The 26,622-nt window shown below is 36.0% G+C and overlaps 1 protein-coding gene and 1 pseudogene across 2 annotated transcripts in view; one reads left to right on the top strand and one right to left on the bottom strand.

The window, feature by feature from the left end:
• The window catches only part of LAMA2 (laminin subunit alpha 2), a 633,429-nt gene that overhangs the window by 357,180 nt on the left and 249,627 nt on the right, over positions 1–26,622 (bottom strand). For both annotated transcript variants that reach the window (NM_000426.4, NM_001079823.2), the window contains exons 5-8: positions 15,307–15,486; positions 12,339–12,428; positions 10,291–10,408; positions 4,704–4,882 (exon numbers count right to left, since the gene is read on the bottom strand). In NM_000426.4, the coding sequence (NP_000417.3) occupies positions 4,704–4,882; positions 10,291–10,408; positions 12,339–12,428; positions 15,307–15,486 (567 nt within the window). The remainder of the gene's footprint in view (positions 1–4,703; positions 4,883–10,290; positions 10,409–12,338; positions 12,429–15,306; positions 15,487–26,622) is intronic.
• BMPR1AP1 (bone morphogenetic protein receptor type 1A pseudogene 1) lies at positions 67–2,061 on the top strand (annotated as a pseudogene).

Genomic DNA, 26,622 nt, shown 5'->3' with positions numbered 1-26,622 from the left:
CTTATGAAAATATGCATCAGTTTAATACTGTCTTGGAATTCATGAGATGGAAGCATAGGTCAAAGCTGTTTGGAGAAAATCGGAAGTACAGTTTTATCTAGCCACATCTTGGAGGAGTCGTAAGAAAGCAGTGGGAGTTGAAGTCATTGTCAAGTGCTTGCGATCTTTTACAAGAAAATCTCACTGAATGACAGTCATTTAAATTGGTGAAGTAGCAAGACCAATTACTAAAGGTGACAGTACACAGGAAACATTACAATTGAACAATGACTCAGCTATACATTTACATCAGATTATTGGGAGCCTATTTGTTCATCATTTCTCGTGTTCAAGGACAGAATCTGGATAGTATGCTCCACGGCACTGGGATGAAATCAGACTCCGACCAGAAAAAGTCAGAAAATGGAGTAACCTTAGCACCAGAGGATACCTTGCCTTTTTTCAAGTGCTATTGCTGAGGGCACTGCCCAGATGATGCTATTAATAACACATGCATAACTAATGGACGTTGCTTTGCCATCATAGAAGAAGATGACCAGGGAGAAACCACATTAGCTTCAGGGTGTATGAAATATGAAGGATCTGATTTTCAGTGCAAAGATTCTCCAAAAGCCCAGCTACGCCGGACAATAGAATGTTGTCGGACCAATTTATGTAACCAGTATTTGCAACCCACATGCCCCCTGTTGTCATAGGTCCGTTTTTTGATGGCAGCATTCGATGGCTGGTTTTGCTCATTTCTATGGCTGTCTGCATAATTGCTATGATCATCTTCTCCAGCTGCTTTTGTTACAAACATTATTGCAAGAGCATCTCAAGCAGACGTCGTTACAATCGTGATTTGGAACAGGATGAAGCATTTATTCCAGTTGGAAAATCACTAAAAGACCTTATTGACCAGTCACAAAGTTCTGGTAGTGGGTCTGGACTACCTTTATTGGTTCAGCGAACTATTGCCAAACAGATTCAGATGGTCCGGCAAGTTGGTAAAGGCCGATATGGAGAAGTACGGATGGGCAAATGGCATGGCGAAAGAGTGGCGGTGAAAGTATTCTTTACCACTGAAGAAGCCAGCTGGTTTCGAGAAACAGAAATCTACCAAACTGTGCTAATGCGCCATGAAAACATACTTGGTTTCATAGCGGCAGATATTAAAGGTACAGGTTCCTGGACTCAGCTCTATTTGATTACTGATTACCATGAAAATGGATCTCTCTATGACTTCCTGAAATGTGCTACGCTGGACACCAGAGCCCTGCTTAAATTGGCTTATTCAGCTGCCTGTGGTCTGTGCCACCTGCACACAGAAACGTATGGCACCCAAGGAAAGCCCGCAATTGCTCATCGAGACCTAAAGAGCAAAAACATCCTCATCAAGAAAAATGGGAGTTGCTGCATTGCTGACCTGGGCCTTGCTGTTAAATTCAACAGTGACACAAATGAAGTTGATGTGCCCTTGAATACCAGGGTGGGCACCAAACGCTACCTGGCTCCAGAAGTGCTGGACGAAAGCCTGAACAAAAACCACTTCCAGCCCTACATCATGGCTGATATCTACAGCTTCGGCCTAATCATTTGGGAGATGGCTCGTCGTTGTATCACAGGAGGGATCGTGGAAGACTACCAATTGCCATATTATAACATGGTACCGAGTGATCCGTCATACGAAGATATGCGTGAGGTTGTGTGTGTCAAACGTTTGCGGCCAATTGTGTCTAATCGGTGGAACAGTGATGAATGTCTACGAGCAGTTTTGAAGCTAATGTCAGAATGCTGGGCCCACAATCCAGCCCCCAGACTCACAGCGTTGAGAATTAAGAAGACGCTTGCCAAGATGGTTGAATCCCAAGATGTAAAAATCTGACGGTTAAACCATCGGAGGAGAAACTCTAGACTGCAAGAACTGTTTTTACCCATGGCATGGGTGGAATTAGAGTGGAATAAGGATGTTAACTTGGTTCTCAGACTCTTTCTTCACTACGTGTTCACAGGCTGCTAATATTAAACCTTTCAGTACTCTTATTAGGATACAAGCTGGGAACTTCTAAACACTTCATTCTTTATATATGGACAACTTTATTTTAAATGTGGTTTTTGATGCCTTTTTTTAAATGGGTTTTTATGAACTGCATCAAGACTTCAATCCTGATTAGTGTCTCCAGTCAAGCTCTGGGTACTGAATTGCCTGTTCATAAAACGGTGCTTTCTGTGAAAGCCTTAAGAAGATAAATGAGTGCAGCAGAGTTGGAGAAATAGACTTTGCCTTTTACCTGAGACATTCAGTTCGTTTGTATTCCACCTTTGTAAAACAGCCTATAGATGATGATGTGTTTGGGATACTGCTTAGTTTATGATAGTTTGTCCTGTCTCCTTAGTGATGTGTGTGTGTCTCCATGCACATGCACGCCAGGATTCCTCTGTTGCCATTTGAATTAGAAGAAAATAATTTATATGCATGCACAGGAAGATATTGGTGGCCGGTGGTTTTGTGCTTTAAAAATGCAATATCTGACCAAGATTCGCCAATCTCATACAAGCCATTTACTTTGCAAGTGAGATAGCTTCCCCACCAGCTTTATTTTTTAACATGAAAGCTGATGCCAAGGCCAAAAGAAGTTTAAAGCATCTGTAAATTTGGACTGTTTTCCTTCAACCACCATTTTTTTTGTTGTTATTATTTTTGTCACGGAAAACATCCTCTCCTAAGTTGGAGCTTCTATTGCCATGAACCATGCTTACAGAGAAAGCACTTCTTATTGAAGTGAATTCCTGCATTTGATAGCAATGTAAGTGCCTATAACCATGTTCTGTATTCTTTATTCTCAGTAACTTTTAAAAGGGAAGTTATTTAAAAAAAAAAAAAGAAATTAAGGATGGCTATAGGGCATAAAGTCAATATTCAAAATTCTTTAACAATTACATTAAATAATTGGAAAATTATTTAAAAATTTTTTTTACAGTCATGCAAAGCAAAATTCTAAAGATTAATTTAACAAAAGACATGCAAGATCTCTGTACTGGAACACTGACATGAATAAAGAAGATAGAAATAAATGGAGAGATATGCTATGTTCATTGGTTAAATGATTCAATATTATTATGATGTTATTTTCCTCAATACTTGTTTGCTTTTAAAGTTTAATTTCCTTTTTGACAAAATTGTATATATTTATCATGTGTGACATGATATTTTGAATATCATTGTATATATATATTATATATATACAAATTGTGAAATGGTTATATCAAGCTAATTAACATATTACCTAACATAATTATCAATTTTTTTGGTGAGAACACTTAAAATCTACTCTCAGCATTTTTTAAGAGTAAATACATTGTTATTAACTACAGTCACCATGCTGTACAATAAATATCTTCAATGTATTCCTACTATCTAACTGAAATTTTATATTCTTTGACCAACATCTCCTCAAGCTCCATTTTCCATATTTGTATATAGAGTCTAAGCAATAATCCTAATATTTTCTGTAATTGACAAGTTGATTCTAAAATTGTATAGAAACACACACAAAAAAGCCCCTACTATAGACAATCTTGAAAATAAAAAATAAAGTTGGTACATTATATTACCTAAATTCTAGACTTACTAAAGCAATGAAGATAGTATGGTATTAGCACGCAGAGGGAAAAATAGATGCTAGGAAAAATAGATAACTGAGGTTCTAGAAATTGATCCATGTAATATGATCAATTGATTTTTCAACAAATGGTGCTAGAACTTCAGGTTAACCATATAAATCTGGTTACTTATTCACACCACACACAAACATTTACTTGATATGGGTAATAGCTCTATAAGTTAAAATTTTGGTTTTTAGGATAAAAAAATATTTAGACTTTGAACATCTACTTCATAAGAGAAGATACAGGAATGGTCAATAAGCCCTTACGATTAAAATTAAATCCATAATCAGATGCCATTTCACACCCACTAGATGACTAAAATCCAAAAAGATAGTCAACATCAAATATTAGAGATGATATAGAATGACTGAAACTCATATAACTTTTTGGTGAACATTTTATACATTATTACTAATTTGGCAAAATGTTGACGGTTTCTTATAAAGTTAAGCATCTACCTATCCTATGAAAAAAGCTTTCTATTCCTAAGTATTTACACAAGGTAAATAAAAATATGACTATAAAATAACTAGTATAAAATTATTTGTAGGAGCTAAGCTAAAACTGGAAATGATCCTAATTTCTATCAACAGGAGAATGGATTTAAAATTTTGATATGTTCGTGCAGAGAAATACTACTCAGCAATTTCTTTCAAAAGAAAAAGAACTACTGATGCACAAACAACATGGATAAATCTTAACATATTATGTCGAGTGAAAAAAGACTCACTAGTATGTACTGTATGATTTCATTTTTATGAAATTCTCTAAGAGGCACAACTAATTTACGTTCTAAAAATCAGAACAGAGTTTGCCTAGGGGTCCACTCCTTGACTGGAAGGAGCCATGATAAAACTTTCTGGAGTGATGGAAAAGTTTTATCTTACATCCTCAAAGATTTAGGTCAGTTTCAACTACGAAATGTTCCTACTTACCTTTTAATTTGAAGTTCAACTGTTTACAGAAGCTTTCAAAATTATTATTTTTTTGTATAAAACATTTTTGTATGAAAAAGCAAAAAAATAACTCTTTATGAAAGAAAAAGCATACTTTACCCCTTTGGGTCTGAAGAAGCCATCAGTACATGTCTCGCAGTTTATACCAGCAGTGTTTTGGGTACAATTAATGCAGACACCCCCTCCAATGTACTTTCCACGTATATTCAAACTCAGATTTCTTCTGGCAACATTTTCATCATAATAGCATTCTTCAGCTTTTCCATGACAATTGCATGCTGCATTAAGGAAAAATAAATTAATAAACATCAATTTGATTTCAGATACATTTAAAAATCATTTCTGTTATACATAATAGATTTTTTTTTTGAGACAGAGTCTCACTCTGTCGCCCAGGCTGGAGTGCAGAGTGGCACGATCTCGGCTCACTGCAACCTCTGCCTTCCAGGTTCAAGCAATCCTCCTGTCTCAGCCTCCCGAGTAGCTGGGGACAACAGGCATGCACCACCACACCCAGCTAATTTCTGTATTTTTAGTAGAGATGGGGCTTCACCATGTTGGCCAGGCTGGTCTTGAACTCTTGACCCATGATCCACCCGCCTCAGCCTCTCAAAGTGCTGGAATTACAGGCGTGAGCCACTGCCCCCGGCCTAGACTTTTATACCATACGGGAAATTACATTTAGCGTACACACACACAAACATATCCAGAAAGTATCTGGATGTATTGGAGGTATTAATAAATTCACACATTTTAATAGAATTTGAAATGATTAAAACATATAAATTAAGCTCAATCATATGCAATTGCCAATATTTGGTTTTGACTAACGTGCAATTTTATATGGTTCAACTTACAATTTCCTATTATAACAAATAATAAATTATTCAATGATGGCACTGAATGATTAACAGCTAGGTAATCTGTAATGAATTACTACCATATGGAAATTTCTGTATTAGAGCCTGTGGGTAAAGAAAAGTATGTATAATATAATTCCTTTCTTTTAATACTAATAACAACTAAAACATAGGTTTTCTCAATGCCAGACACTGTTCTAAATGCTCCATATTTGTTGCTACTGATTTTAATCCTCAAAAATGCTTTTAGGAATTAGGTATTATTATTATTAACCTATTTTTGTATACTAGAAACCTGAGTCCAGAGAAGTGAAATAACGTGTAAAAGATATTCTAATCAGTATTGGAAACCAACCTCTGAAGCCAGACTCCAGAGTCTGCACTGCTAAAGACTGCCAGAATCTCTTCACATCCTACCCGGTGAATGAAATAAGATACATGGCAGGTGCCAAGGAATTAAGACAAACCGAGAGCTAGTTTACTGGTGGCTAAGATCATGCTATTTTGCAACCAACTGTCTTGGATGTGGGTGTGCTCTCCTCTACTTAGCAGTCATATGACATTGGAAACTTCTTAATTTCACGAAGGCTCAGTTTCCATATAATACATGGAGTGGTCAATAGTAATTACTAGATTGGGATATTTAAAAGCACAAGTGAGATAATGCATGTGAAATCATTAGCGTAATGTCTTATAAAGAAGTTAGCAATTGATTTTTCTTCTTTTCTTCCTCCTTGTCTTTTTCATGTTACATTAGAAGAATTCCAAGAAGTGAAAAATCACTTTCTCCAGAAAGGATTGGGTAAGACTCTTCTAAATATGAAGAATTTATATTAGGATAGAACCAGGGAAATATATCGATGCAGTCTCCTTCCTACCTGACATGTTGAGTTTCTTAGGAGTACTTACATTTATTTCCACGTGTGTGTGTGTGTGTGTAGGTGTGCTTGTATGCATACAGCTCAATCTTTTTATTTATTCTACAAAAGGGAAGGGGCATTTGTATACTGTTTAGAACCGGTTCTTTTTACTAACAGTAAATCATGGAGCCCTTTCCATATTAGCATGTGTATCCCCTAAGGGTACACAGGGTACTACTTGAATGAAGGTATTTATCAGGTCCCTATTAATGAACAGTTACACAGTTTCCATGTTTCTCCCTTTACAAATAACACCACACACATACTGGGAGGACAAGGATGCCGGGTGGAGGGAGGCGCTCTAATGTTAGAAAAGTTTCCTATTTGCCAGTTGAGTGACTTTGAGGCAAAAACTCGAGTCCTAGCATCACTTTAGTACTTGTCTCATACATGTTTTGAGAATGCTTAGCAGAATGCCTGAAACATACTAAATACTGAGCTCAATAAATGTTAGTAGCAGTAGTGGTAGCACTTGTATAATAATGACGAGGATCATGATAATATGCCTGTACATCTATATGAATATATCTATAGGGTAAATTCCTGGAAGCATAATTTCTAGTCAAAGGATATGTAAAATTTAAATTTTAATCGCTTAAAAAATTCCCCTCCAGGAACGCTATGACAAATGACTTTTCCTCTAGTAGATATGATAAAACACTTTCTCCATAGCCACCAACCTTGTGTGTTATCAACCCTTGAATACAATTCCTGGACATAATAAGCATTCAAATATTTGTTGAGTAGAAGAATAAACACTTTGATAGGTGAAAAATAATATGTCATTGTTTTAATTGATACTTCCTTCATTATGAGTGTCATTATCTTTTTACAAAGTTATATGTCATTTCTGAGGAATACCTGTTTTGATCTTTCTAACAGGTTAACTTTTTTCTTATTGATATGTAAGATCTCTTAATATAGAAAGGTTATTATCCCCTTGTCATGTTTGTTGTAAATACCTTTCCCAACCTGCTGACATTTGATTTAGAATATAGTAGTTTTGCTATGTTAATGGAGAGTTTCAAACTTTAGGGAACACATAGTAATCAATACAAATCACTAGGCATTGTAAGCAGTTTTATATCTTTAGGGCAACATACAAGAATTCCTTTTTTTTCTTCAGAAAGACAGTGATATGGTTTGGCTCTGTGTCCCCACCCAAATCTCATTTGAAATTGTAATCTCCACGTATGGAGGGAGGGAGGAGACTGGATCAAGGGGGCAGCTCCCCCATGCTGTCCTCATGATAGTGAGTGAGTTCGTACAAGATCTGATGGTTTTATAAGGGGCTCTTCCCCATTCACTTTCTCCTCTCTCTCCTGTACCATGTAAGATGTGCCTGCTCCCTCTTCCCCTTTGATCATAAGTTTCCTGAGGCCTCCTAGCCATGCAGAAGGGTGAGTCAACTAAACCTCTTTCCTTTATAAATTACCCAGTCTCGGGTAGTATCTTTACAGCAGTGTGAAAACGGAGTGATACAGACAGGGTCTCACTATGTGGCCCAGGCTGGCCTCAAACTCCTGGGCTCAAGAGATCCTCCCACCATAGCTTCTTTCCAGTAGCTGGGATTATAGGAGCATGCCACTGGACCTGGCTATGAATTCTTAAAAGCTTTGTTGTAATAGTGTATTTCAAAAAACAGTCAAAACTTCTGCTGCCAGTATAAGCAGAGGAAAACATAAAGTAACATAGACTTATTCTCACACTATTTAGAATTCGTGTTGTCAAGAGTGTTTAGAACTATGAGCTACTATATGTAAAACCCTGATGCCAAATAAACGGTCCATCACACACTCTGTGCAGCCAGGACCCTACACCTACAGCCCCACTTTCTGTCTGTAGGCTGCAGCCTACCCCGCTCTGTCTGTAACCTTCAAGAATATGGCTAGTAACTGATCACAAAGCCATGTTTTTTCTCTATCATCAGCAACTTACTATTTCACAGAATGTCCAAGATATATCATATGAAACTGTTGTTTAGTAAAGGCTCAGCAACTGAATGAATATTCTATGCTTTTTAGAGATATTATCTTGCCTTATGTAAGCTAGATTGATGAAAATCCAAATTAAACTCAAATGAATTAGAATGTGATTATTCATTTTATGGAGGGATTTGTCATGTCATGGAAGGATTTTTCTAAATATTAAGGTGATTGGAATATGATTCAACTTGGAAAAGAAAATTTTTACTTAAGCTTTCAGGAATGTACTCATTGCTGAAAGTGTGATTTTTATGTATGGCTTTATGGCTAAGATCCCCATCTTGAATTTCTGCGTTTTTAAAATGTTTGTTTTTCAGTTTGGAAATACGACCTCCCCTCTTCCCTACAGGGAAAGAAAAAAAGTGTTTCACAATTCCACTATTTTAAAAATGTGTACAGTAGCAGTTTGAAATGTCTTGCCTTGCTTAGTCTACCTCTATTGCTAACAAGTTGCTCGATTGTTTTTGTTTTGTATTTAAACGTAGAAACACAAGTAAAGAGTGGTAAAGGATTTTGCAGAGCCACTTAACATTACACAATTATCACTGTGTGAAGGCATGTCAGTGGCAACAGGAAGACCCCTACCTTCAAGTGCTGCTCCCACTTATGATTACTGATATTCTACAAACAGAAGAGAAATTTAATTAAAATTTAAAGGAGCTCGAGAGCAAACATCCCTGGGTGGCATTACATTTAAAGTCACTATTAAGAACAAATGTCTGTTCTCTATGGAGAAGCTGTGGAGAACTAAGGGATTAGCCAGAACATGGCTGGAAGTAGTTGAAGGAAACAAAAGGCTGGGCTTCCAATGGTCCCCTACCATGCATGGTGAGTGATGATCCAATGGTGGCTCATGCCTCCAGATATGCTTTTGTAATAATGGGAGATTTCTAATCCATAATATCTTTATAAACAGGCAGACACAAATCCAAAAGCAAATGAAGTGAGTGCAGAAAATAAGGAGAGCTAATAGCATATATGCAGAATCTCAAACTAAAAAGAAAATACAGCCATCCCTCAATATCCATGGGAATGGTTCCAGGACCTCCCTCAAACACCAAGATTCAAGGATACTCAAGTTCCTGTTATACAGTGGCATAGTACTTGCATACAGCCTATGCACATCCTCCTGTACACTTTAGATCATCTCTAGATTACTTATAATACCTAACAAAATGTAAATGCTATATAAATAGTTGTTATATTGCTTAGGAAATAATAATAAGAAAAAGGTCTTTACAAGTTCAGTACAGATGCAACTTTTTTTCAAACATTTTTGATCTGCAGTTGGTTAGACCCATGGATGGAGAAACCATGGATATGGAAGGCCGACTTTATATCTTATAGGTGGGGAACATTTTGTGATTAAGGTGTGTTATGATTCAATAGTTTTAAAGACCTGTCATGTCTGACACATTGTACATGATAAATGTGAGTTGAGTTAATTTGTTATTCAAAGGATATATAGTGTTGGTATTAATTTAAAATGTCTATCAAGCTGTTTTTGAAGGCCATATATACTTAGTGAGCTGAAAAAAATGTGGTTAGGGCTGATTTACTGTAATATTAATATTTGCATTCAGTTGAATTGGACTTCATACTAGTTTAGGTTTGCAGTTCAGCCCAAGACTATTTTTAGGTCTTTTCTTGGGTTGAGAAAATCTCCAGAAACACAGGTTTCTCCATGATACCTGTCACCTAAAAAGACCAGTTGTCACTATTAGGCTATAAAGTCATCTGCTACATTTCTTAGATATTTCCCTTTAGGAAAAGCTAGACATATGGGTTGTCTTCGAAGTGATAATATAAATGAGTATTTGTTGACACATTTGCATAACCAGCCATTTCACTATTTTTCATTACTGGCTTTTTTTCTTGGAAAGGAAGAATGACATATTTTGTTGGCTTCTAAAGAACATACCTTCACATTCAGTTTTAGTTAGAAAAGTTCCAGCTCTCCAGGGTTTCTGATGGAATCCTGGACAGCACTGATCACAGCTATCGCCACATGTGTTATGCTCACACTCACAGCGAGATTTCTAGTCAAAAAGAGGGAGGAAGCACAAATTTTAGCCTCATTTAGAACCATAAAGGAAGCCTCTCTCTAAAGGTACTATGAAGAAAAGAGAAAACATCTGGACTGTGTACTAAAATGTAAAACTAGCCAGCCTGGGAAGAAAGTGGTGCCAGGCTTGAAGTGGGTATATTTGATCAACATCACCTTAAGGAAGTCCAGGCTGGTTCTTTAATCACTGGGTTTAGGCTCAGAAGAAAGCAGGAAGGCCCAGCTGGGAGTGGTCTTGAAGACTGAATTCTCCTTCTCTGATGCCTGGGATCTATGTGTTTTTTGGGGGTCGATTAGCTTGTTTTAAGGCTCCCCTCAAAATGTTGTTAATATTTTTGGATATGGCAAGAAGGAGGGAGTTGATTCCTAGGCCTCTAGGGGTGCAGGTAAACCAGAAATCTAATGTCTCTAGGACTAAATCTCCTGTCTGTGCATGCTCTGAATACAGTCTCAATTTACCACCTGGAATTGGCCTTCCAAGCCTGTCTTGTGGACTTTTAAAGCCTGGGAAACACTGATCATCTGTACACCTGATAGAAAGCACCCTGCATGCATTAGCTGTCTGTCCTGATGTTCTCCCTCCCTTTGCCTCCCTCCATCTGATAGGCCCTGGTGTGTGTTGTTCCCCTCCTTGAGTCCATGTGTTCTCATTGTTTAGCTCTCATTTATGAGTGAGAACATATAGTGTTTGGTTTTCTGTTCCTGTGTTAGTTTCCTGAGGACCATGGTTTCCAGCTTCATCCATGTCCCTGCAAAGGACATGATCTCATTCCTTTTTATGGCAGCGTAGTATTCTATGGTGGCATATGCATTTTTTCACTTCCTCCAAATAAAATAACAGTAAAGGGATTTTTAAAATGCAGAAAGCCAGTGAGACAAAGGGACTCTGTAAAGCCTGTGGAAAATTATGCCTAGGTGATGGGTTGATAGGGGCAGCAAATGACCATGACACACATTTACCTATGTAACAAACCTGCATGTTGTGCACGAGTATCCAGGATTTAAAGTAAAATTTTAAAAAATGGAAAACAAAAAAAAGAAGAAAGCACCCATACCAGGCAGAAAGCAGCACTGCAGCTTTGCCCATAAAAATATGTTAGTGTACTTTAATCTTCCTAGGAGATAACATTATAATCCAATCATCAGAAAACTAGCTTTGAGTATAATGTCATTTGCATTACAATATTTGAGAAAAAAAATCTGTGGCCCGATTTACATTCACTGATCTTACTATTCAATGTATTTTTCCATATACTATACAGGAGATGAGTTTGAATTTCACCAGTTTGTCTATGACAGGAAAAATAGATGCTCATTCATCTTCTCCTTTAGGTTATGTTCACTTAATTCATTGTCATTAATGAAAAAATTCTATCAAAAAGCATTCTGGCATTTTCCGGCTTGCCACTATCAGTACTCTCTTGACTCTCTCACCCACTCCACCCCCTCCACCCCCTTATTGCCCCTGCCCTATTTTATCCTCCTGTTCCATTGTCACTTATATATTTACTTCCCTGCACATTTTTTTACTCATTTGCATTAATTTTTTGATTAGAAACTTTAAAAGAAATGGTCAGGTTGATTGATGGCAGGCGTTCTCTAAAGCTATATCATGAGGCAGGCTGTCATAGCTAGAGAGATTTCAAAATAGACCAGTTTGGAGCCTTTTTGAAAAAAAAAAAAAAAAAGGAAAAACTAATCTGTTTTCTTATACTGTGATGGCTGATTTCAAAGTCTATCATCCTAACTGCCAGCTCTTATTTCACCCTGGCATGGATTTCTGTTACACTGTCTAAGTGGGGACCTGACTCCCATTTACAGCGTTCTCTGTCAGCAAAGACTGTCATGAAACATTTTACAGCTCAGGGCTTCATTTTGCCTAAGCATCCTATAAATATACATACATTTGTCGCTGGATCAAGTGGACAAGCCCTGGCATGACCATAGCAGATGCACATCCCTCCAACTGAAATATCCTTGACCGAGTAGTAATACTGCAAAAAGCAATCCAGAGAGAAATCCTGTTAAGATGACTGCAAGGTCAAAGTAACAAAAGGGGACATTCAGTAAAAACTTTATTTTCTGCTTTTATCCTTAGTTTGAAGGACATTTGTGTTTCTTGAGGACAAGTGAGGACTCACAAAACTGACAAAGTAACTCTTAGCACTGTGATCTTAGCCCAAAGGAAGAGTGGCCTTTAATTTAAGCTAGTTGGGCATTTTAGAAATATCTTTTTCCCAGTCAGCACCAAGTCCATGCTAGAGTACCTGTGGCTGACAGTAGTTTTTATCTGGGGCTAAGGACAGCTATTCTTCATAAAAGTTGTTTTACATAGTTTCTTGCAAGAAACCCTCTTTTATTGTGATTATAGCAACTGCAGTATTCACAAATCATACGCACACTGTTTTACTTGATGGATTTGAAAAGAACCAACAAAATCTGGGTAGAAATTGTGCTCATAACAATATATTCCTTAACCATATTAAGAAGAAAATTAAAAAGTCATTAACTGTAAGTTTATTGTGCAGAACATTTGCATTTTTATATTACTATGTAATATAGTCCATACAATTACCTTTGTATATGAAGTTAACATAGAGCTATGTTACTAATTATTTTAATCTACCCAGCTATTTTTTAAGGATAATTATGGAGGCTAGACTATTTTTAAAATTTTAATTAATGTGTATATAACATTTTATAATTGTCAGAGCACTTTACATTATCATATTCAAATAATCATCTTAGCGTTAGATAGTTCTATTATTCCAATTATACACACACACAAAAAAAACAGATTTAGCTAGAATATGTAGGTGGACACATATCTGAGTTCCTTGACTAAGAATCCCCTTTTTCCAATTTACTTCTTTGTTTCTTTTTCCTTCTATTTGTTTTTGTTACATACATATAGTGTCTTTGAAAATATTTTTGTTATGTTATCTTATTTGATATACCTAGACCTTGAACTAATGGAACTGGCTAGGGAGTTTGGATAGTATAAAAATATTTTTTCCATTTAACCTCATCACTTAATAATATAGACACAAATAGAGATATTTGCTTAAAAAGCTGATACAGTAGTATTTGTAAATGCTTTTAAAACTGGGAAATCTATTTTAAATATAAATGTATAATGCTTTGCTTTTGAGTCATGAAGAAGAGCTGAAATTTGCTATCTTATTTTTATATATTTAAATGAGTGTTTATTGAACTTGAGTACTTTCAAAAAACATATTTATATGTTGACTTATACTGCATTATTTTAAAGACTCATGTACGATAAAGTTATAAATAATAGATGTGTACCCCAACCCCCACTCTACCTCCTGCAAGAGATGATAGAAAGAACACTAATTTATTTTCATTGATTTTTTTTCTCTGATAGACATACTGTCAAGAAAGATTAAATTTCACTCCAATTTCACACCAGTCTTCCTTGGTGTATATTTTTAAGTCCCGCCAAAATTAGAATTGAAAATGTTTTCTTAAACAAGTGAAAAATCCAAACATTGCTATAAAATAATGATTAGTTTTGCATGAGACAATTTACAATATGTTGAGGTATAATACAAGGGGAAATTATTTCAAGTTTGGAAAATACAGGGCACTAAAACATCTGACATATGTTGCATGGGACTAACTAAAGCCTTAAAAGTTATCTTGTGATGATGGAGAGGTTGGGTGTGGGAAGTTAAGTAACGAGGAAAGAAAACATGTGAGGAGTATTTAGGATCTGTAACTATTAACCCTAGTGATTCAGCAATTTTGCAACCGATGACGGTGGTCTTACCTTAGTGGGATCATTCTAGAATTAAATGCTTTGTCCTACAATATTAATTTCTCCCTATAGTCTTTTTTCTTAGCTATACCTCTAGTCATACAGTAGATACTCTATTCACAGGAGTTTACTTTATAGAGTTATGGCTGAATTGACTTCCCTGGTAATAATGCCTTGGTTGTGTAGCAGCATATGTGGGAGGTGCCATAAACCAGTGAATATGGTAGAAGGTAGACAGGAGGAAGCACGGTTATCACTCATAGCAATCTGGGTTGATCATCTATCTTGTAATCCCACAAATTCCTGTTTAACACTGGAAGACAGCACTTCTGTTAGCTCTTGTGTTCAAAAAGCTTTTGAAAAGATGCTTTAAACTTTTTCCCCTAATATTTTATTTGTAAAGGAAAATAAAACAGTATGTAGAATCAGTTTTCTCCTATAGCACTGCATTTTTAAAACTATGGCTTGTGATTCATTAATCAAGCATAAAACCAAATTATTTGATGGCCCACAAACCGGCAACATCAGCATCACCTGGAAAGTTTTTGAAGTGCAGCGTCTCAGCTCTGCCCTACTGAATCATAACCTATATTTCCACAAGATCACTGGCTAATCCCATACACATTAAGGTTTAAGACATACTGCTCTCTGTATGTGTGCATGTGTGTATACTGGCTCAGTGGTGGCAAAAAAATGTTTCAAAGCCCCTGCACTTCCAGTAGTAACTCGCCAAAGCCAATTATAATAGTAGTATAGATCCCCTAAGGTGACAAAGGCTAATTTTATTCTGAAAAATAAGATTATTAAGTAGACATTGTGATTCTCATTTTACAAAAGAAGAAATTAAAGTTTGAGAAGGCTAAAATGTTTGATAAATGTTACACATGTAATAAGCGGCACAGCTTGGATCTGAACAAAGGAAAGTCTGTCAAATTTCAAATAATAATAATAATAATAATCTACAATTCTAAAATAAAAATTTGATAATAACCACTCCTACAAATCACTGAAAACATTTTTAAAGTATTTAACAGACAAAAAGATAAGTGGGATATCATTTGTAGGCTCTAATATGATTCATCATAACTTACTCTTCTGGTGACAATGGGGTCAATTTCTCTTGGGTCTTTGTGAGCAAACATCATCAAGTCAGCATTCAGTGTGCGGATCCTCTGAAATCTCAGGCGAATATAGCGAGCGGAGGTAAATTCTAGCAGTTCTGGAGAAGGATCATCGGCACTTGGTCTCCCATTGATTAAAGAGATGTGAATCTACACAATATGAAAAATAATTTAACAATTATGTTTTCCAAAATTTAAATATTGATTTTGTTTCTTTTTCTTGGAAAAATAAAGTTAACTTCCCATTCTCCCAATTAGTTACGCAGATTCAGGTACATGCCTATGCACTGGCATCTAGTGAAGTAACTGATATATGTTATAGTCTTCTTAATACATGTACATGCAATTTGTTTGTTTATATCATAGGCATTTCTCCTTATACTTCAACTACCTATATTTCTCTCTTCCAAGGCACTGCGTCAATTCGACCTTCCTAAGATTTCCATAAATTCTTAATCATTCTTTCTCTGAAAATTATTGTGCCCTAAATTACTTAAGAATCTGGGGTATGGTGGGAAACCAGAAAACTTGGGGAAAAAGTTATAAAATATCAGATTAAAAAAGGAACCCATTAGGAACTTAAAATAATTCTGTACTTGAAAACATCACATTATATAGCCTTAAAATATGGAGAACAAAAATTACAAGGAAAACTAGACAAATCTATCATCACAGTGAGATATTTCAATAGGTTGTTTTAGGTTGTCGTTATCTGTATTTTTTTTTTTAGTAATTAATAGGTCAAGAAGATAAAAATTCATCAAGAATGTAACATACCCTATGAAAATCACACTCTAAAAAATATGTTAAACCTGAATGGAATGGTGAATTTTTTAAGACAATAATTCAGCACAGTTGACATCAAGAGAAATAAAATTCAGTCAGATCATTTTCTATGTGAAAGAAAAATTGAGAAATTGCCAACAAACTGCCCTCCAAAGGTGTAGAAGGCTGGCAGGCTCTCACAGGGACTTCTCAAGAGCAAAGAATTCTGATGAAGAATAAACTGTGTGACAAAATAAAAGGTACTGTTGGCACGGATAAAGGAAGGATGTTCCTAATACTCAAAGAACTCTTGTAAATCAATAAAGAAATGCACCAACACCATAACAAAATGCACAAATATATGAGGGCCCTATTCAAAGAAAAGAAAATTAAAATGACTGTTAAAAGTTTATAAGATACTGATCCTCCCTCATAATAGGATAAATGTTAATTAAAAACACACTGATAAACTTCCCATTTTTTCAGGTTGGCAAACCCCACAAATATTGGTAATACTCTCTGATGGTTAGACTAAGAGAGTAGATACATACCTCTTACATTTACAGGTATAACTGTAAAATGATACAAATTTCAAGAAAGTCAATTGAGCAGTAACTATCAAAATTAGAAACACACAGTAATTCTGAGCTAGCAATTCCACTTCTAGGAATTATTCTACAGACATAAAATAATACAGATACTATATTACAGGTGAACTGAATATGGCTAATGGACTGAATGTTTGCCTCCCCCCTACTAAAATTCATATGTTGAAACCCTAATCCCAAATGTGATGATATTTGGGGGCAAGGCGTTTGGTAGGTAATTAGATCCTGAGGGTGGAGCCCTCCTGAATGAGATTAGTGACCTAATAAAAAGAGGCCAGAGAGCTAGCTAGCTCTCTTTCAACCATGTGAGGCTACAAGAAGTCAGCAGTCTGCAAGCCCCGAAACAGTCCTCACCAAAGCATAACCATGCGGACACCCTGATCTCAGATTTTCAGCCTCCAGTACTGTGGGGAAATAAATTTCTCTTGTTTACAACCCACCTAGTCTATGGAACTTTCTTATGGCCGCCCAAACTGACAAAGACAATATTATTCTTTCAGCATTTTTTATTATAATCTTTTTTGGTCACATCAAAGGACTGGAAATAACCTAATATCCATCAATATGGGACTGGTTAAATAAATTGTATATCTGCATAATGAATTATCTGCAACCATAAAAAAGAATGAGGAATCTCTCAACATACAGATAGGAAGAAGCACATACTTACACTATTTTTGTATTCTGTAAATGGATTATTATTACCTATGCAACAAATTGAACCAAACCAAAATTGTTAAAGAAAGTGAAATTGAGTGGTAGATTTTGAACTGAAAATACACATACACACTCACACTCACACACACATACACACACAAACATGCACACAGTGCTAAAGGTACAGGGATGCAGGAAGTGGGAGTTCTGTGCTATCTGGGAGATGCTTGGGTACAGGACAGTGTGTGCACTGAGGAGCTGTGACTCAAGGTCACCCACTGGAATTTTCATCCACTTTGTAAGATGATATATCATGTGTGTTAATTACATTTTTTGACAGGAGAGGCAATGATACATATTTCCATTCCTAACGTCCTGCATTTAGATAATCCCAGGGAGCCTTTTACAAACTGACTGCCAATAAACTACTTGAGTCACCAGAGAAATACAGCAAACTCTGAGATGAGAAACTAATTCTGGTGTCACAAAGAATAGACTCAAAATGCCTCATGATAAAAATATGAATATGTTCCACCTAATTGAATCTACCTGGGATGCTTAGTAAGGAATAGAATGCAATGTCTTCTAAAATATGAATCTGAAAATACTGAATCCTCTCTAATGCAGGGATTCTAAAAGAGTGAAGCAGATCTTGTATATTCCTCAAGATCCGCATTTCTGGCACCTAGCAGGTGAGCCAGAAATGTGTTTAGAATTGAGTTATATTTTTGGCTTAAGGAGGTTAGAGTTAAATGTTAAAAGAATGGATAAATATATGGATGAAGCCATTAAAACTAATTTCCCTCTGAGATTAACCTTGGCACCTAAAAAAGTCACCAGTGCCATTGAACTCAGGCTTACATTTCTATCAAATTCTCTCTTGACTGTCCCCAAAAATACTACTTGAAAGAAAGGAGGAAATCGCTACATGTCTAGGATTATAGTTTCTGAACATTATTAGAGTTTATTTGGTGTGAATGCTGTGGTGAATCATGTTTGTGCCGTATGAAGAATCAGTAAGTTTCTCACTTAAACATACAAAGGACCTTTTTGGAAAAAAGGTGTACATATTCTCATTTAGGTTAATAAACCGTGTGATAGCTACATGAAGGATTCAGCAAAAGAACACTTCTCACAGCTTTGGTATTTTCATCAAGCTACTCTGCCAAGAGATCTTGTGAATATAGTTAGTCCCAAGCTGTTTCTGGGATATAAAACAAGCCAGCTGTTTGGCGATGTTGTGTGCAGCTTCCTTCCACCGTTTTGTGTGTATTTTTTTTTCCTTTCTCCTTCAAAATAAATCATAATGTTGGATAGGATATTTCCACTAGCACAGCACAGTGTAATTCCAAGTCCACTGGATAGCTTAGCATACTTCCTGATTTCCTATGGGGTGACAGCCAGAGGGTGGTATCTGTCTTCAAGGAAGATGAAATGTATCCATCCCCAAGACCACCACTGTCTTGCTGTGAGGACCTGAGAAATCTGTGGCAGCCTCTAGTGTCTTCCAAAGTGGTTTCTATTACAGACATGTTGGTGGGTGTATGTTCATGCTGTCACAGGAATTCATTCCAACTGCAAATATCAGACTATGGTTATCAACTGGTTTTTTAGAGTTTAAAATGACACTCTTCTTTGAAATTTGTTTTCCAAGGCAAATAAAGGGGGGGAAACCTTATCAGAAACATCTCTTTTTATAACCAAATAACTATATCAATATTATACTCTGTTCACCCAAATAATCCTGATTTACTAATGTAAGCATACTATATAAATCATGTTTGCTTTACAGATTAGTAAGACCTCTGTGCCTCAATGGCATTTTTATTTTAGAATACATTTTAAAAAATGATTTGTGCCTAAAATAATTAGATTTCTCGTATAGACGATTTTCCATTATTATGCTTGTCTATTTATGTTGCTACATTTGTTTTGGAAAGCTTGAAGAGCTATAATTCTAATACATTCCCTAACAATACAAGTTTCTTGAGTGAATGGATGGATGGGAGAATGAAGGCTACTGAAAGATCATGAATAAGTATCAGAAACTTTGAAATAAGTAGCAGAAGTGGATGAAGTTGACAACTTGATGTGTGGTATGCTCTCTCCTAAAACATTTTTGTATTATCAATCTCTACAAGTGTGCCAATGAAACAGGTAAAACAAATTGAAAGTAAGCTGACACCAGGAGACAGAACAGTAAATCCATATGTGTAGCTTGAGATTAAGGATGTACAGATATGGACAAAGAATTTTTATGTAAATGAGTGGCTGAGACATCTGGGGACCTCTTAAATCCAGTCATGCTCAATATGGCATTATTTGGGGAGAAATAACAAAAACAAGCCTAATCTCTTTTATTTTGACTGTGTAAAAAAAGAAGTACCATCACCCCTCATCAGTTATAGTTTCAGGGGATTTGTGGGGATTGGTTCCAGGACCTCCTGTGGATATCAAAATCTGAGGATGCTCAAGTCCTTGAAATGAAATGGCATAGTATGTGCATATAACCTATACACATATTTCAAAATTATTTAAATCACATCTACATTACTTTAAATACCCAATACAATGTAAAGGCTATGTAAATAGTTGTTATACCATATTATTTAGGGAATAATGACAAGAAAAAAGTCTGCACATGTTCGGTACAGATGCAGATTTTTTTCTAACATTTTTCTTCTGCAGTCAGTTGAATCCATGGATGTGGAATCCACAGATTCAGAGGTCTGATTGTACATGTTTGAAGAAGCGAGGTGAGCTGTAGAAAGCTCAAGGAAAGGGAACAATGCAACAATTGGTCATTGTGTTTCTAGCACAGAGTAAAGGCTCTGAGTCTGGCTCTGGATGGTAAATAGGTACATTTTGGTTTATTCCTCCACAATGCTCCTATTATTCCATTGGTCTTCCTCCATTCCACTGAAACTGCTCTTGGGAAAGTCACCAACGTCCTTCACATTACTAAATGAAATGTCCAGTTCTCAGTTCTCACCATATTTGACCTATTAGCAGCATTTGAGACAAGTGATTACTCCACTGACTTCCAGGACACACTGTTCTTGTTTTCCTTCTACCGCTTCAGCTACTCCTTCTCAATCCCCTTCAGTGCCAACTTTAATCCTTCCTAACTTTCTCATAATAGAGCACCACAGTGCTCAACCCTTGGCCTTTTCCTCTGCTCTGTCCTCACATACTCATTTAGTAATCCCATTGAAGCTCAGTTTGTACTAAGTGTATTATCATCTTTATGAATTGTCAGTAGCTTTATTATATGTATCAGCATAATTACTGAAAAATAATCTTACCATACCTTATCAGAAAGCTTTCACTGTAATTTAAAGAATCTTATTCAAATCAATGGAATATTGAAATATTTTTAAATGTTATAAAATATGAAAGTACCATGAATATATGAAACAGTAATGCACGGGTAATTCAAATATACTGGATAAATGACAAGAGTTTCATAAGATATAATTTATTATACAGATTAATAAAATCTTTAGACCTTTCAGACTAGACATTTCCTTACCAAGAATCTTCCTGGCCTTAATGAACACATACAGGATTATGGACTCAATCTGTTTCCAGGCATTATTTCCAATTATATCAGGCACAGTTTTTGAAGTATTCTGTCAATTTTCCTTTACTTCATATTTTGTTATTTTCTCCAACCAAGAGTTCTCATTTTTAGGGTTATTTTTATTAATTCTAATACTGCTCATTTGCATATTCAGAAAATTAGGTACTCTGAAGTCTTAAAATATATGCTTACCTTTCAGAGCTTTATCTCTGGCCTTCCTCTTTATATTTCAATATTTCCCATTCATATAGTCAGTCTATCACTCATTCACTCAAATATATGTATTGGATATCTACTAGATGGTCACTGAATCATTTTTACTTTCCTTTCTGTGTCATGGTCTATCTTATCTTTAGGCCCTTTCCTCAAACACCTTTTCTGTGTTCTCACTGCTTGCCATTTACACAGATGTACTTTATATATCTTTAAAATCTCAGCTGTGTTGCCAATTCCATCCTCCCACAAATACCTCCATGGACTGTCTAGGAGCTTCTTCTATAATTTATCCAAACTCCCTTGACTCCCCCTATTTTTATTGCCAATTTACTTGCTTGTGTCTGCTACTAGATTTAAGTTCAATGAGGTTATACATTTTCTTATTTATTGTAAACCCTCAGTGTTTAGCATAATGATTTCAGTACATACTATATTATCAGTAATTATTTGTTGAATGAACATATCAATAGCAGTCCCCAAATACTATAGACTGGACTAGAGCTTCCAATGAATTAGCTCTTTCCTCAATCAAACATTTACAATTTGTGCATTGCATGTATCACTTAAAATTTGTATATATTTTAACTGTATTTTACCTATATTTTTAATTCCATTTATTGACTGTTCATCATAAATTCTAGTATAAATTTATTTATTCTAGTCTAATAAATTATTTTAGAGCTACAATAACTTATTTTTAAAAATATTATATGGGTATCTTCATACGTTTAGGTAAATCAATGAAGGATTATTAAATATACTAGTAGAGCCATTTATATTTTTTAGTATACTAGCAGAGCCATTTATATTTTTATCACAAAAAGAAAAATAATTTTATAAATGGATTTGTCCCTTCAGGTGCCTTAATATTCCTTCTACTCAGAACTGGAAAGTCCTCATTTTCATGCAGCATGTAGGGCACTGAATTAGTTTGGAAGGTCTTTAATAAAGGTCTTTTTTTTTTTTCCTACTGTCACTAGAAATTTACACGACCAAATAGAACAACCACTCTTACATGTCCGATGACTACTGAGTGGCTTGAAAGGTAGTGCTGTAATAATAAAATGTCAAGAACTGTGCACAACCTTCTTTAACTTACCTCTTCCAAGAATACAAGAAATGGCAACTTGAACTGTTCAACAAATATGACTGTATCGTTGACAACTCTACCCCTAAGCTTAGACTTAACAGGTCTTTCCTTCTTAGATAAGAAGGTATTATGCTTTCGATACCTAACACTGTGACCACAGGTCACGGATGGGTGACCTGTAACCCATAATAACTGAATGGAAGATCCTGGTATCCTTCCCACTGGTCATAACGCATAAAAGGAACACTGACCACTAAGTGCCTGAAAATTTTAAAAAGCTGTAAATCATTACTGCTTGATTCCAATTGTCCCTGAACTTAAATTGCCATTCTTCTTTTCTTTAATTTCTTTAGAATTACAGTCCTTGCACTTGTCATTCCTGAATGAAAGCTTTGCCTTCCACAAAATATTTAAACATATTCTTCAGTCAACACAACAGTCTTTAATAAATTTCAGCATAATAAGAAAATCAGTTTTCTTTAAAGATTATTTGCTATTTTATATTTTTATTTTTCTTTTCTGCTAGTGAAACTAGTTAAAAGGTTTGTGCAGCTTTTTTTTTTTTCCTGCTGGTCAAAGAAGAACATGTCTCTTCTCTCCCTTCTCTCTCTCTCTCTGTCTCTCTCTCATGTTGTATCAGAGTTGGCTGTAACATTTTCTTTTTCTACCAATAGCAGATTTCATGTGGCAGTGCTTTCTAACTACTATGGAACTACCAAACACCAGAAGAACTAACTTTTTAAAAATGATCAAAAATAGAAGCAAAGCCTTAGCTGCTTTAGGAGTTCCAATTTTATCAAAGTCTCTATGATTCTTTTTCTTAGAAAGCCTCTGGTGGTCGTCCTGCTTTGTACAACTCAAAGCAACCAACAAAGCATTTACTTCTAAGCCCCTTACTCAAGATGAGCTTAGGTTAGTTTCATCTGAAACATGCCCAGGTGGGTGACCTGTAATCCACAGAATTGAGTGAAAGATCCTGGTATCGTTCCCATTGGGCATGACGTACAAAAGGAACAGTGATTACTAAGTGCCTGAAATTTTCAAAAAAACAAAAAAAATTACTAAATGCAAATTTCCCCCTTCCCTCTCACTTTTTTTTTTCTCTGAAAGGAATTTGACATACAGGAGTTCATTTTACATCTATTTTTAAATGCTTTCAAATAATTTTTAAAAAGTACTCGAAGTTGAAATATTGTATTTATCTTTGTGTTTTTCTTTCTTCAGTTAAAGTATATAATAATTACACAGATAAAAGAAGAGTTGTCAAAATAGAGCTTCTCAATCTCTTTTGGGAGCTTCTCATTTACATTTTATCAAATGCAGACACCACTGTTAAATCTTTGTGCTGTTAAGCTAAGACTATATAGGAATACACAGCTAGGAAAGAATCTAAGAGGAGTAGCTTCAGAGCAAGTCATTAGAGAAAAACACCAGAAGGAAGTTCTCTCACTCTCCTCGAACATTTGCATTGCTCCAAATTTTGTTTTGGGTGTGCCCCAACCAGAGATATCATAAGAGGATAAAATCATTAGTCATGTATTCCAACCTCATTGCTATTTCAGAAATTACAATACACAAGATCTTGTACACAAAAACAATAGTAGTTATTCTTGCAAACTTACTGGATATGAGACACTCTTGCATGTGATCTGTATGTATGAACTCATATAAGATTAACTCATTTAATGGTTACAATGTGTTCGATTCCAGTCTGAATTCACTGAATGTGCCCATCACTACCCACAGAGGAAGGGTTCAATAAGCATTTGTTGGATGAAAAAGAACTGGTCATCTAGGCCCCTTTTGAAGACTTGTAGTGACCGAAAGCTCACCACTAGTGAGAGTCTATTCCATGTACCTTCCCTTCATTCTATCATCTGATTTGGGATTCCATTCCAATCCTGTCTATGACAGACCCAGTATTTTAACTCCATCTCCTCTTTATCGTCCTCCTGTTGCTCTTCTGGAATAGTCTTTACTGTTTGATTTTCTGCAGATCTTGGCTTTTCTTCATGAATTTGTGTTGGATGAATTTGTATTCTATCCATTCTAGGCTTCCTGGGGTAGACTTTTTACCGTGCCCTAGGTCACCATGTAGGACCTGTCATGGGATCCGACGGTGCCCAGGTCCCCTGAGAAGGGGCAGGAGTGAGGCAGATTAGAGTACAAATGTCACTAAGCCAAAGGATAGTTCCAGACCCAATATCACCTCCTGCCATTGATCCATATCAGTAGAGACCCTCCTGGTAAATAGAAGGAAAGCTCTATGCTGACCAAAATCAGAACTGAAACATGCCTAAGAGTTGAGGGCTAAAGCAGGGGTCCCCAACTGCTGGGCCATGGACCAGTACTATCTGTGGCCTGTTAGGAACCAGGCTGCACAGAAGGAGGTGTCTGAGCTCCACCTCCTGTCAGATCAGCAGCTGTGGCATTAGGTTCTCAAAGGAGCACAAGCCCTATTGTAAACTGTGCATGTGAGGGACCTAGCTTGCAGGCTCCTTATGAGACTCTAACTAATGCTTGATGATATGAGGTAAAACAGTTTCATCTGGAAACCCATCCCCACTCCCCATCCCCCCTGTCAATTCCATGGAAAAACTGTCTTCCACAAAACCAATCCCTGGTACCAAAAAGGTTGGGGACTGCTGGGCTAAAGCATTATTCTCCGGAAAAGAACCAACAACTCCTAAAGTCTTACTAACATCTTAATAAATGAAATTGGTTATGATAGGTTTAGTACTTAAGTACTTTAGTAAGTAAAAGCTATTCCCTAGTTTTCAAAAATACGTATGCTTTATGGTAAATTCTACAAAGAAGAAAGTGCTAAAACCTCAAATTATAGGGAGATGAAGAAAATATGTTAATAACAAAAATAAATATGTGAAATAACATGATCTCCCTTAATGTGGAGAGCTGCTAGAGAAAGTTCCGATAGAAAACAAAGTAACTGAGAGTACAATGACCTACATTGGTGAGACGGAACAATCAGTACACTTGAAAGTCAGATAACAGCAGCTCAAAGGAAAACTTAAGCAACATTTTCCTGTTTTGTTTTCAGTCCCCGTGTGGGAACACTTGTTTAAAATAAAAATAAAATCTTGGAGCAGGAGGTCTAAATACAGTGCCAGATCCTGTGTCATTAGATTGGAACAAAACCTAGACAGGAACTTAAAAGAGAAATTCAGTCTCCTTCATTCTCATTCTCTGACTCAAAGGTTCTTCAGAGAAAAGTTGAATTGTGTGTGCGCGTGTGTGTGTGTGTGTTGAATTGTCTCTGTGTGTGTGTGTATTTTACGAGTACACAAATGAAAAGCTGTATAAATACATTAATTTGGATTTTTACTCATATGTATAGAAGCAGCATTTCAGGATAGCTACTAGCAGCCTCCACTGATTTAATGTTCAGAAAGCTTAAAACTCAAGATGTCAGAGACTTTAAATTTATGGAATCATACTAATGCATACAGGAGTTTAAGCAGAGACACAAGCTCTTCAAGACTGAGCATTCCATTGGCTAGCTAATTTCTAATGTTCTTAACATTGTGTGTATGCAAACTGGAGTTCCTAGTGACTGTCACCATCCTCCCACACTCTGACACTTGCCTACCAACTCCCTATTCTCACCTCTCAATATATCAACATTCTCTGAATGTTCCCTTCTTTTGCCACCTTTCCCTCTCCTCTTAGTTTTGCTTTCACATGACTAATTTTTTGGTGTCTCTTTCCATCACTTTACCTAGTCTCCATTCTTCTTTACTTTTGCCCCGTTTAATTTTATTTCATCTGTAGAGTGAAATTGCATATTCACAGTTGGTCAAGTTTCTCCGCATTCAAGTAAAATCATGTGTTCAATTACTCTAAATACAGCCCCTGGCCTAGCTCTGTAAAAGGAAACTGTAGGCCTCTCTGATCTTTTCTCATTGCACAAGGAATTTTAAAAAATTAAATTATTTTGCAGAACAAAATTGTATATTTTCATAAATGATGAGTCTTCACTTCAGTGGGTTTATAAACCTGAGTCTATGTGTACAACTGTAAGGATGTTTGTATGTATATGCTTTTCTAATATTGTCTATCCCCATGTGCCTGATACTTTGTGTGATTGCATGTACGTATGTGTGTTTGTGTGTGTGTTCAGAGAGTTAACCATAGTTTAAGATCAAATTTGTTGGAGACAAATTGCTTGTGTTCAAATTCTGGCTCCTCCACTTACTATCTGTGTGAATTTAGACAATTTACTTAATCTCTCTATACCTCAGTTTTCTCTAACAAAGGTAAATAAAAATAATATCTATCTTATAGTGCTGTTTGGTGGATTAAAAGAAATAATTTATGTAAAATGATTAGAACAATATCTAGCACACAGG

This window comes from Homo sapiens, chromosome 6 (genome assembly GCF_000001405.40).
Source record: "Homo sapiens chromosome 6, GRCh38.p14 Primary Assembly".
Lineage (NCBI taxonomy): Eukaryota > Metazoa > Chordata > Mammalia > Primates > Hominidae > Homo > Homo sapiens.
This window is presented reverse-complemented; position numbering and strand designations above follow the sequence as displayed.